The sequence below is a fragment of the Homo sapiens genome, chromosome 6 (assembly GCF_000001405.40).
Source record: "Homo sapiens chromosome 6, GRCh38.p14 Primary Assembly".
NCBI lineage: Eukaryota > Metazoa > Chordata > Mammalia > Primates > Hominidae > Homo > Homo sapiens.
This window is the reverse complement of record NC_000006.12, coordinates 16,405,728-16,423,150: the sequence shown is the minus strand read 5'-3', so window position 1 is coordinate 16,423,150 and position 17,423 is coordinate 16,405,728. Positions and strand designations below refer to the sequence as shown.

At 41.1% G+C, this 17,423-nt stretch overlaps 1 protein-coding gene across 3 annotated transcripts in view, besides 2 other annotated features; it reads left to right on the top strand.

The window, feature by feature from the left end:
- Window positions 1–17,423, top strand: part of ATXN1 (ataxin 1) — a 462,349-nt gene that overhangs the window by 338,310 nt on the left and 106,616 nt on the right. The window lies entirely within an intron of this gene.
- Window positions 1,898–1,947: an enhancer, noted in NCBI's record as "active region_24104". NCBI's record gives its function as "activates an Ori minimal core promoter by ATAC-STARR-seq in GM12878 lymphoblastoid cells {active_cell/tissue: GM12878}" and the evidence as "EXISTENCE:reporter gene assay evidence [ECO:0000049][PMID:35858748]".
- Window positions 8,848–9,037: an enhancer, noted in NCBI's record as "active region_24103". NCBI's record gives its function as "activates an Ori minimal core promoter by ATAC-STARR-seq in GM12878 lymphoblastoid cells {active_cell/tissue: GM12878}" and the evidence as "EXISTENCE:reporter gene assay evidence [ECO:0000049][PMID:35858748]".

Below are 17,423 nucleotides of genomic sequence, written 5' to 3'. Positions count from 1 at the left end.
GAGCCAGCACTACAGTTTTCAGACCTGATGGCTAACAAGTGAAATGTATTCAGAGAGAGGTGTGTGATTATAAAGACTCCCCCTACCCCTGGTGCTCTATTCCACTGACTGTCCCTTTATGAAAAATGAATTCTAGAGTTCCCTTTCTGAAATTTCTTACCTGAATCAGATCAGATATGACAATTCTATTTTTTAAAGCACCTTACTGAAAATAAAGTGCTTTTCAGTAGTAAACCTTTAAGATTCCTGGTTTCCCTCTGACTTGTGAAAATATGAAAGAACTGAAATTAGACCACATTGGCCCAGGTTGGGAAAACAGATGGCAGAGATAAGGCAGATCAAAGAAACATCTCTCTGTGGGTGAAGGAGTTCCTGGTTGTCATGTATCCATTTTTTGTAGCGTTTTCCCTACTTGAGGAGGCTGTTGTGAAGGGCAGGATTCTTCACTGAATCTTTATTGTAAAAGGCATAGGTGTGTCTTGGGTGGATTCCAGTTCTCAGGTTGATTTGCTTGACAACTCTTAGGAAGGAACAATTAATACTGCTGCCCCTCAACTAGCTAGGGAGATTTCACTGTGGAGGTAGAAGTCGGATTCACTGAGGCAGAATTGCCAGGGCTTGAGACCCTTCATGCCTCTCTTTTCCAAGTCTCTCTCTCCAAGAAAGGGTGAACTTTTCAAGTCAAAGAGCAGGGACGTAAATAAATGCAGTTATGGCTGTCTTAGGAGGATCCATTCACTTAAGGCAAAGGTCTTAGAAGTTACAGAAGAGGAGAGAGAATGGGAACTACTGTGGCACCAGGATGTCTGGAGAAGAGAAAGTGCGCTTACTGTGCACAGCTTCCTCTCCCTCACCTGCGCCACGGTGAACCCACCTATATCTTTCTGCTGGCAAAAACATTTGCTCAGTGTGTCGCCGGAGTACTTGAGTGTCTGATATTTCTCAAGGCAGAATCTACCTCACTGTCTCTGAAACCTCAAAATATGTGGCCCTCTCGAAGGATAACAGTTGGCAGCAACCTAAGGCTGTTCTGCTCCAACTTGGAATGAAGAGGAATATGATTTGGCCATTCTTCTTAGCACAGAGGCAAATAAAAAAAAAAACCCTTATATACTTCAAAAGATGAAGATCTTACTTCTTACTGGCTATCTTTGCACCAGGTCCTGGGATTGGCATATAATAAAAAATGCATATGCAGTGGCCATGAAATGGGCTTAAAGGTCAATCTTGGCTGCCAGTCGTGGCTAAACTGCATTGTATTCCATGTTTTTTTCCATATTGCCCCTGCAGTGTACATATACATGCACAGTCATGGCCCCTGCACACTGTGTACACACTCACGCCTGCACACATGTATGCATATCAACGCCTGCACATGTACTTGTATGCACACTCACCCACACATGTGCATTTGTGTGCACTCACTTCTGCACACCTATTTGCATGCACGCTCATCTCCCACAAATATGTATGCATGCACACTCACGCCCCCCCCACCCTCCCGTGTGAAACTCTGCACCTGCTTGTCTTTACCCTCACCCTTGAACCTGTGTATAACCTCATAAAGTAGGAAGAAGCCCAGTGTTGAACTCTACAGCCTTTTACATTCAAAATGGTTTTGAAAAATGCCCATTCAGAGGAACAGGAAAGCACCAAACCTAAAAGGTCTGAGGACCTTTCCATGCTTTCTGTCTCCTAATCTCAGAGCTGTACCAATCTGTTATTTAAAAATTAGTCATTATTTATCCAAGGCAGGAGGGGACAAATGTAACTGTTAGTTCAGTAAATGATTTCATTCTTTTTTTTTTCCTGTGTCCTTTCTACTGTTAAAGTGACGAAAATGACACCACGGTTTGATATGTGGGGTTGGTTTCAGTTTGAATAATCTCATCCTTAGCTGCATGTGAACTCATGTCTTCTCACACTCTATTAGATAAAAGCCTAAAACAGGAAGGCCAGAAACAACTGTTTTTAAAAAGCTCATGCTACCCTGGCAACTTAAGTTGGAAGAACCTAATAAATAAATACAAAGCTGCCCCTCTGTCCTAATGTACTTCTTCTGAATTCCAGCTGGGCACCTCATGGTTTCATGCCTGAATCACAAAGGCGAGTGCCAGTACCCAGCCAGAGCAGTTTTCCTACCATAAACCAGTAAATGTGTGTGTATCACATGTAAGTCAGGGTCAGATGGGGAAAATCAACTACAAAACCGCAGAGACATTATGCAAAATTGGATTACGTACATGTTTTCAGTTTTGTCTCTTAGCAGTTTAAGTCTTTAATTAAAATACACACGAGAGAGAGAGACAGAGAGAGAGAGAGAGAATCTGTAACTGTTAGATTTTATAGGCCCCGGTTATGAGATAATAGCCTTCCAAGTAATTTTTATGGGTCATTCTATCTAGTGGCAACTTAGACTATAAAGCCATCTCCCAGCTTCCCAAAAGTAATGTCTGTTTTCTCACTTTCTAATAATTACTTCAGATTTGAAAGTAAGGAGTTGTCACAGTGAATACAAATTAGAGTCAGCTTCAGGGTATTACTAAATGTGGATTGTTTTGTTCCGAGTTTTATCCATTTTAGGCAGAGTAACATGATCATTTATATACATCTGCCTCTATGCAGGCTGTGTAGACATACTCAGAACACCAGCTTCACCTCTTCAGTCTTCTAAGACAGTCTTTCTAATACTCTATATTGTCTAATAGCTAAGCTATTGTTAAATAAAAACACGCAAATGTTTGCAGTTAGGCTCCCCCCTCCATTCTCAACCTCTTAAGTGATACAGACAGTAAATGCATTTTGATGTTTATTTAGAAAGTTGGCATCCTGGGACTGTTCACAAGATAGCTAATTTGTCTGAAGGTCCCCAGAGACAGTGAAAGTCATCCCACCATCTCTCTAGCTGCCCTCATACCGGGGAAGTAAAATGCAGCATAGAACACTGCAGCTCACGTTATGGAGAACAGTGGTGCTATGGTGATTTCCTTTCTATTCAAATCATTTAGTGAGGATTTACATAATTTGCATTAACGTGTGACTTTCGATCACTTATGCTGCAGCAGAGTATTCGTTGCCTATGTTCTCTAAGGCACCAGTGTGGTGGTTCATGTGTCCTTGTATAAAAGATTACTGTCCTCCCCATCCCCAGTCTTTGTATCTGTGCACCAGAACAAAATGCCCTCGGATCATGGCCACCCAGGCCAGAGAATGAGGACCCACACTTTAAAAACCCTGTAGATGATAGGATGAGCGGTCCTCATCCGTCCCCTCCCTGAGAGTGAGGTTGGGTTGGAGTAGAAGGATGGACTCTGCCAAATGATGACAGCAGCCCTGAGAGTCCTTCTCACAGGTGGCCAGCTCTGTCCCCTCCAGCCTCACCACACATTCCCCTAGTACACAAAGGCAGACCCGGGCAGCCACTCAGCATGCACATGTAGCAGTGTCCCCTGTACACTGGTACCCTCAAGGCCTCCCTGGCACCTTTGCTTGTTACGTTGGCTGATTTCTTCAAAGGGAAATATGGGATGTGGTGCAGCCTGGCCCTCACACACTCTGAAAATAGCACTGCCCAGGGCCAGGCCTTTTCCTTTGCACACTGCCATACCCACCCTGGAAAGTACTCCATGGTTGTATCACAAGAAAACAGCCATTTGGGCATTTTAAATTACTCAAAATATTATAAAAATATTTATAAAATATATTAATGTATATATTTATAAAATACAAAGAGTATATGATTACCAGGCAAATGAGTAGACAGTGATAGAACTATCATAAGAATAGGATTGGCTATTAATTATAATAATGATTGGAATAGATAACATTTATTGAACATGTATTATGTGCCAAGCACTGTGCTAAAATATTTACATGCAGCAGTTCATCAAAAGCTCATGGGAAGCCATGTGCAGTGTCATGCACCTGTACTCCCAGCTACTTGGGTGGCTGAGGCAGGAGGATCACTTGAGCCCCAGAGTTTGAGCCTAGCCTAGGCAACATAGCAAGAACCCATCTCAAAGAAGAAAACAATACAAAAAGCTCATGACAGTTGTAAGACATATGTACCATCATTACCCTTATTCAACAGAAAAGGAAATTGGGGCTTAGGGTGGGTGGTTACCTTACTTGTACAAAGTCACACAGCTAGTAAGTGGAGGAGTTGGTTCAATGAAGGATAACCAGGGAAGCATCTGTGGGCATATCGAGGCCTGAAAATAGGAACACCTTGGCCAAATTTCAGACCATGACATCAAGCGAATGCTTGAAAGCTAAGGAACAAATAGAAATATGTTGTATCATTTATAACAAATTGTTACCATTAACACCTACAATTATTAGCGTTAGGAGTATTGCGGTGGGAATTGAACAATGAGAACACATGGACACAGGAAGGGGAACATCACACTCTGGGGACTGTTGTGGGGTGGGGGGAGGGGGGAGGGGGGAGGGACAGCATTAGGAGATATACCTAATGCTAAATGACGAGTTAATGGGTGCAGCACACCAGCATGGCACATGTATACATATGCAACTAACCTGCACATTGTGCACATGTAACCTAAAACTTAAAGTATAATAATAATAAAATAAAATAAAAAAAAGGAGTATTGCATGGTCAGACTGTTCAGATCTCATGAATGCTCCCTGCTTCTCTATTCCTTCTTTGATTTGACATGTGCCAGGCCATGTATTCCAGTGGATTTCTGTACTTTCTACTTTATTCCAAAGGCTAAGCATTCCTGAAAGCCACAGAGGGAGTTGATGTGCTTAAGGAAAGAAGTATCGCTTAATGTGGCCAAAAACCGATTCCATTTCTGTACAAATGCAAGGAGTTTTTGCCAGGAGCCAGGGATTAATAGTCTAGAGGAAGGGACTAATTGTACACAGGAACAATATTTACTTTTATAATGGGAATAGTTTGAGACAGTGCATCTTCTAGACACAAACATTCAGTAGGAAGGGTTATGCATTAATTCTTTCATTTAATGAGCATTTTAAGCACCTATTATGTGCCAAATATCTTTTCGTAGCTCTACAACAGTGTTCACTTCTCAATCTTTTGCTACACCAGAGCGTTGGGACCATGCTCCCATTAATCACCCTGTCTCAAACAACATGCTTTACCTTCATTCGTTGATTTACTCATCCATTCCTTCTCATAGTTTTTAACCTCAAGAGCTCTGAGGTTCAGGGTGGAATAATATGGAGGGCCTTTGAGAGGCTAACTTTTGAACCAAATCTTCGAGGATGAACTAGGGTAGTGGCAGGTAGAAAACTGCCTTTATATTTAGCCTTCTTTGGTACCTGGTCATGGATTTCTTCTTCAAGCATGAATGGCATCAGTTGTCTGGGAGTGAGATACAGTGTTCGTATGCTGAGAAACAGATTAGGCCATTAAAAAAAAAGTTGTGGCCACGTGTGGTGGCTCACGCCTATAGTCCCAGCACTTTGGGAGGCCGAGGCAGGGGGATCACGAGGTCAGGAGATCGAGACCATCCTGGCTAATATGGCGAAACCCCGTCTCTAGTAAATATACAAAAAATTAGCCAGGTATGGTGGTGGGCGCCTGTAGTCCTAGCTACTCGGGAGGCTGAGGCAGGACAATCGCTTGAACCTGGGAGGCGGAGCTTGCAGTGAGCCGAGATCGTGCCACTGCTCTCCAGCCTGGGTGACAGAGCAAGACTCCGTCTCAAGAAAAAAAAAAAATAAGAAACTTGTAACTCCCTCTCTCTACTTGATGAAGTAGACATCAGGAAAGACTTTCTTATTCTGCTTTCCATTAAAAGCCATAACTTGGAAATTATTATTGATTGGGCTTGGTGTGGTGGCTTGCGCCTGTAATCCCAGTGACTTGGGAGGCTGAGGCAGGAGGATTGCCTAAGGTCAGAAGTTAAAGACCAGCCTGGGCAACATAGTGAGACCCTGTCTCAAAAGAAAATTTTTTTTTAAGTAGCCTAGCATGGTGATGCATACCTGTAGTCCCAGGTACTGGGGAAGCTGAGGTGGGAGAATCACTTGAGCCCAGCAGTTCAAGGCTGCAGTGATCTATGATTACACCACTGCCCTCCAGCCTCGGCAACAGAGCAAAACCTCATCTCTAAAAAATAAATAAAATAATATCTTAGGGGAAGTTGACAAAACATTAGAAATATTGTAGGGTTAGGTGCCTGTTGAGCCCCAGGATTTATTCCATTATTCACTCATATCTTCATGTATCCATTCAATAAATACTTATTAAAAGCCTACACCATGCAAGATAAAAGCCACATTCTACTGAGTATGCAATGATACACGGTATGGGGTTTCTGCTTTATGGAAACTAAAGGCCTACTAGAGGAATTCAGGAATTCCAGTGTGTACCAGCTCGGCTGTAACACAGTGAGGAAGAGATAGGAACCATGAACTAAGCGGTGAAAATGTGATGGGATTCAGAGGGGTCAGAGGTATTGGATACAGTGAGATTATTTTAAACGTTTAGGGTGTACGAGCAAGATGAGTAGGAGATTTCTTTAGGAAACATCTCCCTATGAAATAAAAGTTTATATAAAAGGAATAATAATTACAGTTGATATTTATGAATACTTAATCTGGGCCAGGGACTATACTTAGTACTTTTCATGCATTGTCTGATTAGGTCCTCACAACAGCCCTGTAAGGCAGGTATTGTACTTTCTTATATTTTATAGTTTGCACTATTGTGTGCTCCATGGTTATAGCAAAAGCTTTGTCTGTAAAAGGCCACAGGGATAGAAGGCAGAGAGGAAAGTAGATGTGTGATGCAGTATTAATTATTGAGCCAATAAAATCTCTCTAATTTAGATTTTTTAGGAGGAAGTCATTTTACATTTTACATTAATTTAATCTATATTGAGAGATCCTTCTAAGAAAATAAGTTGCATTACTTCAAGTATACATAGCCATATAAATTATTGACCAATTTTTTTTTTCCAATTCATAGACATTACTTTCCAGAAACTAGATAATGACCATTTGTTATCAGCACACTGACTGCAAAATGGATGATGAAGAAAGCCTGGGTTTTTTTTTTTTTTTTTTGAAAGCTTGGTAGTTCTTCTTGTGAATAAATTAAACACTTTCCTGACGATCCTGTTTGCATTATTGACTTATATGTACTGGCTCATATGTAGCTGCCCATGTATAATTCTCCCCACTCATTCTGAAGGGAGGGAAAAAAACGATTAAAAATTTCCCCTCCTTCTTTTTCCTGTTTTGAGATTATTTTTGCTCCCAGCAGAGGCGCGGAGGAGGGAGCTCTCAGAGCCCCATTCTGTTCCCTACCTACAGCATGAAGGATCCAGATAACCGCAGAATGAATGAGGTTTGAGCATTTGTTTTTGCTATAAGTAAGATGGTTTCCCATTAATAAAAGTGGCACTCAGTTTACTTTGTCTTCGCCAGACAGGCAAAGGGTAAATTAAGGTGGTTACCTGTGGTGTCCCAGCTCTTTCCCAAGGCTGGACTAGTGTGAGCCGAGAACCAGGCAGGACTCACTCACAGGTCCCTTTCTCTGCTACTTCTGCTCTGGTTTTATGCGAAGCCCTATTTCCCAGCTGCTTCGGGTAAACAAGGACTTCTGTGTTGAAATAATAACCACTTGGGCTGGGCGCGGTGGCTCACGCCTGTAATCCCAGCACTTTGGGAGGCCAAGGAGGGTGGAGCATCTGAGGTCAGGAGTTCGAGACCATCCTGGCCAACATGGCCAAACCCCATCTCTCCTAAAAATACAAAAAATTAGCCGGGCATGGTGGCAGGTGCCGTAGTTCCAGCTACTCGGGAGGCTGAGGCAGGAGAATCTCTTGAACCCAGGAGGCAGAGGTTGCAGTGAGCCGAGATCGCACCATTTCACTCCAGTCTGGGCGACAGAGTGAGACCCTGTCTCAAAAAAACCAAAAACAAACAAACAAAAAAACCACTTATTGTTTCACTGCCTAATATTAATTAATTGGCCAAATTTCTATTTTATTATATTCCATATATTTTAAAATAATTTCTTCTTCTGTTGTACAAACCAAGATAGAAGATAATTTGCCCAAGAACACAATTGGTAGGTATCCTAGCTAGGAAAGTGGGTGCTTCTGAAAATTATAAAAATGAAATGAGGTAATTTTCTGGGCCCTTGGTACAATGCCTGAGATGTCATATATACTCAGCTAATTATAAGTGACATTTTGTTCTAGAATCCAGTAGCTCAACTTTTAGTCCATTGTGCTGAACACAAATCTATAGATCCTTAAATTGTATACTTTTATTAATTTAATTTTAAAGAGCCAGAAAAATTGACTACATTGGAAACATTCCAGTCCACCAACATATTGAGTAGAAAGAAGGACAAAGGCCATATTCTCTTTCAGATGCTACAAATTGTGTATATTTTCAGTAAGCTGTGTCTGCTTAAGGAGGCATTACTGCATTCGGATAGATAAACTCAAATAAAAAGGCCTGAGTGAAGAGGCTCTACTGGGTTTAGCGTTTTTTTGTTGTTGTTGTTCAGTTTTGCATGTGTGTTTTTAAATCAGTTTATGGTTCATAAGCTGATGAAGCAGTGAGTACAAGTTTGAACTATGAGAAGCAGGTTTGAATAAGTCTAGACATTTGGTTATCTTCTGTCTAGCATTCATTTGTGTCGTGGGCGTCACACTCTGGGGATTAGTGTTTCATTATGCAGAAGCTGTTTTATCTTTAGCTTTCTTATAATAGCTTAAAGTGAATTCTGAGTGGAGAGAGAATGAAGGCCAGGCCTTAGTAACTGCAAGAATCATACCAAAATGGGTTGGATGGGTTTTAACAGTGACCGATAAGCATTACGACCTCACTCTCTGATAGTTCAGTTGGCTCGATGCTGTCTCATCACCTCATTTAGGGTACAATATGCTGAGGAACTGACCAAAGGTCCCTGAACAGTGAGAGATAGGGAAGAGCAGAAATCCGTTCCTGTACCAAGTGTCTAACACTTAATATAGGTGAGAGCTGGCGTGAGATTATCTGTGCTGTGGAAAAATGAGGACCTATCGATACCTCTAAGTATATAATCACTGCCGTGTCACATTTTAATTAGCTCCTTGAGGCTATAGAAAGAAGTTCGCTTCTTATCCTCCAAATTAAGCATCACTTTTACAAACAATCAATGTTCCATTTTCAAAACCCCAAGTAGAGCAATGTTTGATTTTCCTTACTTTCCAGCTTTGAGAATGTTTCATTTTTAGAAATATGTTATAGGAATGTAAAGTAACTCTTGTTTCCCCAAATAACCACCTCCTTATTATCTGTTCCCCTAAGCTGAATCCTTTCAAAGGAAATTTTGTCTTCAGGCTAAGTTTAGTGGCTGATGGAAATCAAAATTATATCAGGTGGGCCATTGCGTCAGTAAAAAAGCCCAGACCACCACCACACAGGATTTTTCTCCAGACACCCAAACATCATGTCACAAAGCTCAAAAAAGTAGTGATTAACATGCAGTGCTTTCAGGAGGCCCACATTGCCGATTCAGTCCCAGTATGGGCTCGTCAGTTTCACTTTCATTCATTCATTTATTTATTTATTCCCCCACCCATTGATTCACATTCACTCATCCATTCATTAAACATTTGCTGCACACAATATCACTGTTAGACAGACTTTCAGAAATGATTGGGTTCCTGTATTACAGACATGAGCCCACGGCACAAAGGTCAAACTAAGAGTAAGATGGATGTTTATAGCACAAGCCTATAACAAAAAGAATGGGTCCCGAGCCGCATCTTCTTCCAAATGCACAAACTATATTTGTACCTTAAAAAAAAAACAAAAACAGTGTTTCCTTTTGAGAGGCAGCATGGTATATGGGAAGAACACGGATTTAAGAACTAGACAGGCCTGGGTTTGAATTCTGCATCCATAATGTGCTAACTGTATCATTTCGAGGAAGTTCTTTTGAGTTTCAGTTTGTCTTTAAATAGAGTCATCATTTCTACTTTGTAGGGTTGTGTGAGGATTAAATATAAAATATGCAGCATAATGACTGGCACATTTAAACGAAGTGCTCAGCAAGTGCTATTTCCCTTCCCCTTTCTTCATTTCTAACATAGTTTGGGAATGGTTTAGGATGACTCTTTTTCTTCTTGTGAATAGATAGAGACCTCATCACCCTAACACTAGAAAACTATAGGACAGAGACCATACTTCTTGCTGTGGCCAGCCCTCATCCACTTTGATGATGCTTGCAGCTCCCAAGAGAGACAACAGCCCCCACGGCATGGCCAAGAGAGGAGCAAACTCTCTCCCCAAGGCAGTCACTCTGGGGATGCCATTGTTCCATTGCCAAACTCATGACCTTTGGGGAATTTGGAAATCTACTACTTTGTGGGGAGAAAAGGACAAAGAAAGTCAAGATTAAGCTTTATATGTAAAGGCCTTTTATTTTAATGGTGTTGAATTGAGTTTGGATTTTGCGTACCCTTCAAATTTCTTAGGGTGTGGGTGAGGGCATCCTAGGAGATTTAATTAGCTCCTTGAGCGGCACTGAAGTTTGCGACATTGAGGCACATTTTCTTCTATTGTCCATTGAAGTGGGGGAGCCTGGCAATGAAATTTCTGAGAAACTGACGCTGTTGCCGTGGATAGAATTGTATGGATATTTGAATTTAGTTTAGTCACTTGGTGGAGTTTTATTTTGTTGTTTGGTTTCTTTTGGAAAGAGAAAATTAGTATAGTATGAATCTGAGCAGTCTGGTTACATGCTTTAATGGGCCTCTGAGATAAAGCAGAAAAGGATGTAGTCTAGTAGTAACCCTTTAGATGATAAGGGACACGCAGGAGGCTGTCCAAGACAGTCTGTTAATCTTAATAGTCTCTCACTTGTTAAGACCTGATTTATTTCAAACTAAATTTCTTGTTTTGAGTTTCCGGGTGAAAGTTCTGGACTGAATCCCTAAAAACATGCACAACAAAGAAGAAGGCTTTTAGAAAGGTTTCTCCTATTGACAGGGTTCATATTCTATAGTTCACAATTCAGTGAATCAACATTTATATTAATTTCATCCGTTACAACCTCAGAATTTGCCTACAAGATCCAATGGCATTTTTACTGCCCTTATTTAGCAAGCCTATACAGTACTTCATGCACTTGGTCATGTCTTCAACTAATATTTATTGGGTGTCTTCCCTAAGCAAGATAGTGCGAGAGAGAGAGCTGAGTTAAAACATTCAAGATAACCTCAAGAAGCTGACAATCTACTAAGGGAGATAAGACATACATATTAATAAGAACAACTTAAACACAAAGGACAAGATGATATGTGGCATATCTTATCAATTAAATAATGTTGGACTTCAGAGGGTGAAGGAATTAGGCATGAAGGTATATCTCAACAGGGCTGTGAATGACTGGAAACAAGGTCTTCTCTCTTCACACTGTGAGCCAGCCACATCCATACTACGGTGACATTCATTTCTCCCCCAGGCCAGCTATGGGCAGAAGTTTAATTATCCTTGAACGTCTTCAATGATCCTCATCTTTGCCCTTGTTCCCTCTTTATCCTTTCTTTCTCCCCAATGTCTTAAATCCTGATGCAGCCAGGGAGATTTTTTTTTTTTAACCTTCAAGAAGGTAAAAAACTATGCCAGGGCAAAATGCCAGATCAATGTTGCTATTAATATAATCAGATATAAACTTTTTCCAGTTGGCACCAACAACCCTGGGCCTTCTCTGAGTACCACCTATAAACAGGGCTTCAATTTCCCATTTTTGCATACTTACTAATGTACTACAGATCTTGCACTGACTTTAATTCAATATCAATATTAAAGTCATATGAGGTAGTAGTAAATAGAGATAGCCATACCTTAGAGTCAATAAGACATAAAATTAGTTATGTTATTATTATTATTAATTATGCATAATATGTCATTTTCCTGAAGAGAACAGACTAATAGCTGATTTCAGCAAGCATCTTTAGGCTTTTGTTTTCAAATTATTTTACATCTTTTTCTTTTCTTTTCTTTTCTTTTTTTTTTTTTTTTTTTTGACACAGAGGTCTCACTCTGTCACCCAGGCTGGAGTGCCGTGGTGTGATCTCAGCTCACTGCAACCTCCGCCTCCCAGGTTCAAGCAATTCTCCTGCCTCAGCCTCCCAAGTAGCTGAAACTACAGGCATGTGCTACTACACACGGCTAATTTTTGTATTTTTGGTAGAGACGTGGTTTCAGCATGTTGGCCAGGATGGTCTCAAACTCCTGGCCTCAAGTGATCCGCCTGCATTGGCCTCCCAAAGAGCTGGGATTACAGGCGTGAGCCACTGTGCCTGGCCACCCACCTATTTTCCATCTTTAGCACTGGCCGTTCTCATTCAAAATACGTACTGCTACACTAAGAGGAGACTTAACTTCAAATTCACTTTGCTCCACGGATGTTGTATATGACCTGAATAGATGTAATTCTGACAAGCTTGTAGTTCATTGGAGGCTCACAATTTGAAAGAAATGCATGATTAAGACTTTAGAACATAAAGAAGATTCTAGTAAAACAAATGATTGCACCCTTTTGGATTTTTTGCATATTATCTTTATGTAGGGAAGGGAATGATATGTTAGAAAGAATCCTCAAACAGGTTTAGACAAATCACTGGTTGAACCATAATCTCCAAAATATCGCTACATCAGAAAAAGCCCAACATAGCCTCTGAGGTATTCGTCAGAAATCCCAGTGCAAGCATTAGGAAAGAAATGTACTCCCTGCTCCTCACCTTTGTAAGTCAGATTTAGTCTTCACTGTTCATTTCAGGTTCTCTGCCTCCATAGGGGTCCCTTCAGCACTTGTTTGGTTCTCTAATTGGCTTATGATAGTGGGTCTTACATCATCAACTGGATTGTAAATTCCTTCAGAAAGAGATGTCAATTAAGTACACAGCAGAGTCACAGTATTTCAAAATTGGAAGTCATAGTAAGGGGGAAGGAGGGCCGCTAGATGCTGTGATTCACACGGCGTCATAGTAAGCAAGAGGCCGAGGCAGTGCCAGCACCCAGGTAGGGCTCCGGTGCCACCCTCTGCTTCATCCTCTGCCAAGCCTATCACGACGGTCGTTCAGCTCATGCTCTCCATGCACGTCTGGTGATTTGATGCTCATCTTTGCCAGCTTCAGAGCATCACTGGACACATGCCCAGTCTTGAAGGGTTAATTTTCAAGTACCAAGCATGCTTTGGACAAACTCAAATCTGTTCCTTGTTTTCGCTCAACCCGCAACCAGCATCATCAGCCCAGACGCAGCTTCCCCAGAAGGCCAGCAGGTGGAGCACAGTTTTGTGGAACTTCTCTAGAACTCGCTGTTTAAAAGCCGCAAACCAAGACATGTGAGGCTGTGGGGTGGGGGGCAAAGAAGAGCCCCAGATTCTGCACGTCTGGAAGCTTTTAAAATTGTCTTACAACAATTTTAGACCTACAAAAGCCAGCTTTTGAAATTGCATAAACGGCAAGTCGAGTTCTTTTTTTTTTTTTTTTTTGAGACCTAGTCTTACTCTATTGCCCAGGCTGGAATGCAGTGGCACGATCTTAGCTCACTGTAGCCTCCACCTCCCAGGTTCAAGCTATTCCCCTGCCTCAGCCTCCCGAGTAGCTGAGACTACAGGCGTGAGCCACCACGCCAGGTTAATTTTTGTATTTTTAGTAGAGACAGTGTTTCACTATGTTGGCCAGGCTGGTCTTGAACTCCTGACCTTAAGTGATCCACCTGCCTCTGCCTCCCAAAGTGCTTTGATTAGAGGCATGAGCCACGGTGCCTGGCCAGCAAGTCAAATTTTTAATTAGACTTAAAATGTTGGTGCTCATAACAACTACAGTTACTGTGGTTTTTTTTTTTTAGTTTCATAAAGAGGACAGACGCTAAGGCAATTGTGTGGAACAGAGCAGCTTCTCGGGGTAACCATCTCCTGCTGATGTATAAATATCGGGGCAAAACTGAGTAAGTTTTAGAAAATAAATGTCAAAGCAAGTCCGAGTCATTTATTCCTTAGCAGGAAATATCGATCCTGTGACATTATTTGATTATAATGACTGTTTCTATTAGGTTAAATGACTGAGGTATACTTAACCAGTTTAGGTGAAGAATGAGGCTCATTGCACCATTTGATTGACTAAACCTTAGAACCCATGTATTCTTTTTATTTGTTCAGTCACCAATTTTTATGAAGCACCTACTGTGTGCCAAACACCCTCTTGGGTGCCAAGGTAAGAATTAAATTTTGGAATTAAGCAAAGCATGATGGCTCATCCATGTAGTCCCAGCTACTCAGCAGACTGAGACAGGAGGATCGCTTGAACCCAGGAGATTGAGGCTGCAGTGAGCTAAGAACATGCCACTACCCTCCAGCCTGGATGACAGAGACCTCAACTCTAAAAAACAGGTTTTTTAAAATTGGAATTAAACACACTTGGGTTCAAGTTCTACTTCAGCTACTTATTAGTTGTGAGAAAATAAATGTCAAATGTTTTTCAATTTGCATAAGTTATTTAACCACATTATCCTTACTTTCCTTATCATTAAAACCCTGAAAAGGTTGTAAGTGACAAAATACGTGATACACACTTAGTGCCTGTCAGATGATAGGCCTGAGTTACTGTTAACTTTTTTTTTTTTTTTTACCATCCTCATCATGTTCCTCATTCTCATCTTCTTCCAGGGTTCTCACTTGATGAAGGAAAGTATTTAAGACAATACTTCTTTAACATACTTAATAATGGAATGGATATAGAAATGGGAGAAATCAGTGTGAAAGCAGGCTTTGGTGAGGCCACTATTTAAAATAACTATAGTTTATTTAAAGGAGACACGAAGTAACTGAGATTTCACAAGGCCCCAGACCCCCTTCTCGAATGTTATTATCAACTCCCGTTTCTGCCCTGTGATGTCATGAGGGTTGATGATCGGTTCTTCTTTTATTTTGTTGCCAAGTACAGCAGGGATATGTGTCCTCTCTATTCCTGAGTGGTGAAAGTTCTCTTCTGAGACCACAAAACATGGTGGCCTCAGGTTCTTTATGGCCCCACGGTCTCTTCCTGCACCCCTCCCCAAGGGGCTGGGTTGGTAGATATTCCTAATGTTATATCCCCTGTTGTTGACACCCCCATGCCCCCAATCCCGCATGCCTAGCAGATGCACCTTAACCCAACCACTCTGGGTCAGTTCCTTCCTCACACAGCAAGCTGCTAAGAAGGTTGAAGAATTACTGGACTTCAGATACCACATGGCACCATTATCCCTGGCAGGTTTCCTGTCACTGCCTGTTTCTTTTTCTTCCAGGAGGCTCATCAAACAGGCCTCCACACAAACAGAACATCCATCCACTTCACAGGCCACCCAGACGTATCCAGAGATGCCCAGATGAGACCTGATTTGCCTGGGTTAACCGTGTGTCTGCAGCTCAGACCCTCCAATGGGGCTTCTAGCTACATAGTCTAATGATGAAAAGCTACTGGCCTGGGATTTAAGAGCACAGCTTTCTAGCCTAACTCCACAACTGTGCCCCTGGGAATTTTAGTCTCCTCTCTGCATTTCAACTTCACCAACTAAATAAGTACCTTTTAATATCTAATTGAATTGATATGCTATATAAGCAAACCAGATGTTGTGAGTAAAACCAGCTTCAGCATCCAAAAGTTGATACAGATACTTTTGAGGAGCATGTTTCAACATATTCCTTAGGACAGCCTTACTATGAGAAGGTCATCTCTCAGTGATTTCAATGTGCCATTGGAAGAAGAGCTTCTGCCATTTAAATGTCCAGTTAGGCACTGGTGGACACAGCAGTATCCTTCCCATTCATTCCGACCATATTATTTTGAATCATAAAGGCATATCCTTAGAGGAGAACATTTAAAAAATTTAATAATGTATTTGTTTCATTAACATGAAGTTAAGACTTTAAGATAAGGGTAGTGCCCACAACACAATCTTTTAAAATGAAGCCAAGTTAACAGTCATTACTCTGTGATCTCAGGCATGCCCATTATCTCTCTGAGCTATAACTTCCTCATGGATGATCACTAGTCTCCTGCCGCTGTGAACTTTTACAAATCTGATTCCATAGTACACATCTTAAGTGTTAGAAATGCTTGTTCTTTGGTGCTGTAAAGAAATAGACCTTGAACATAAATTTAATTTCCTCAGCAAGACCATTTTTACTTTCTGCAGAAAGGGTACACTTGCCAGCAGTTTTGCCACAAGAGTACACGGAACAAAGGAGACAGGGTCATTATAACCTGACGCGTCCACCCTACTGCTATGTCCAGTTTCCATTGGCTGGAATGGGACCTCACATTCTGTATTTGTCCCGAATGGCTAGCAGCTTAGAACTTTTTAAAAGCAGCAAAAGCAGAAGAGAACAAAGGAAGGAGGAAGTAACTTGTGAAATGCTGAGAAAGGTAAAAAACCTTCAAATAAGGAAGAGGAACAGGCTATGACCTAATGCTTGCTTGGACCAGTATAAGCATGCTAGGGTAAATATTTAGGCTAAATTGTGGGAGCTAAGAACATAAAGTACATTGATTTCTTTATTACAGCTAGCAGATATTTAAGAATGTTAGCACAGGTCTTTGAATAAATTTTGCTTCTAAGAGAAAGTACTATTAATTCCTAATTAGATGGGGAGGAAAATCTTTGAAGAGGAACCTCTACTTTACTTTTTACATTAAGGAAATAGGGTGTCTAGTAATGCCCTCAAAAGTTATGAATGCCCGGTATCCGTTAGGTTTGAACTAACTGATCTTCACATTACTTTAAAAATAGAGATGACTCAATTATTGGTTGGCTGTGAGTAAAACCAAATAAAGCTTTATTTAAAGTTTTATTTAGATTCTTGAAAAAATTATTTAACTTGGGTTCTCCTTGGTATGATTAATTTAGAGAGAAAGGAATCTGAGAATGCTGTTGACCTCATCATTCCTTCACATGTTCCACTTTTTTAGTCTCTCATTTTAACTTAATGAAGGAAAGTCATAGGGAGAAAAAAGAGAGAGAAAAGAAGATAAGGCTGTGAAGAGAGAGGGTTGTTTTAAGACCTCACGTTGAACAATCAGCTAAATCTGCATTGAAAGCAAGAGAAATAGCTCAAACACAGGTTTATAGTATTTTCTTTCTGAGAGTGAACATTGTGCAGTAAAAGGTCCTTCACATGCTATGGTTCATACACTGGCATTTCATGAAGCAGTAGGGAGCAGAGTTAACCCCACCAAGAGCACTGCAGTGCGGCCTTCCTTCCCAGCCCCCGTTCCAGCACCTCTTTCCATTTCCCGACTTTTCTTTCACCGCCAGTAAATTTAATGTCTTCAGCTGAGCACTGATTTCATGAGCGTAAAGGACATTAGCAGTACTTCGCACATGGTATGCACAAATATTAGGCAAGTCCAAGGACAGGATGAGCTGCAAGCAGT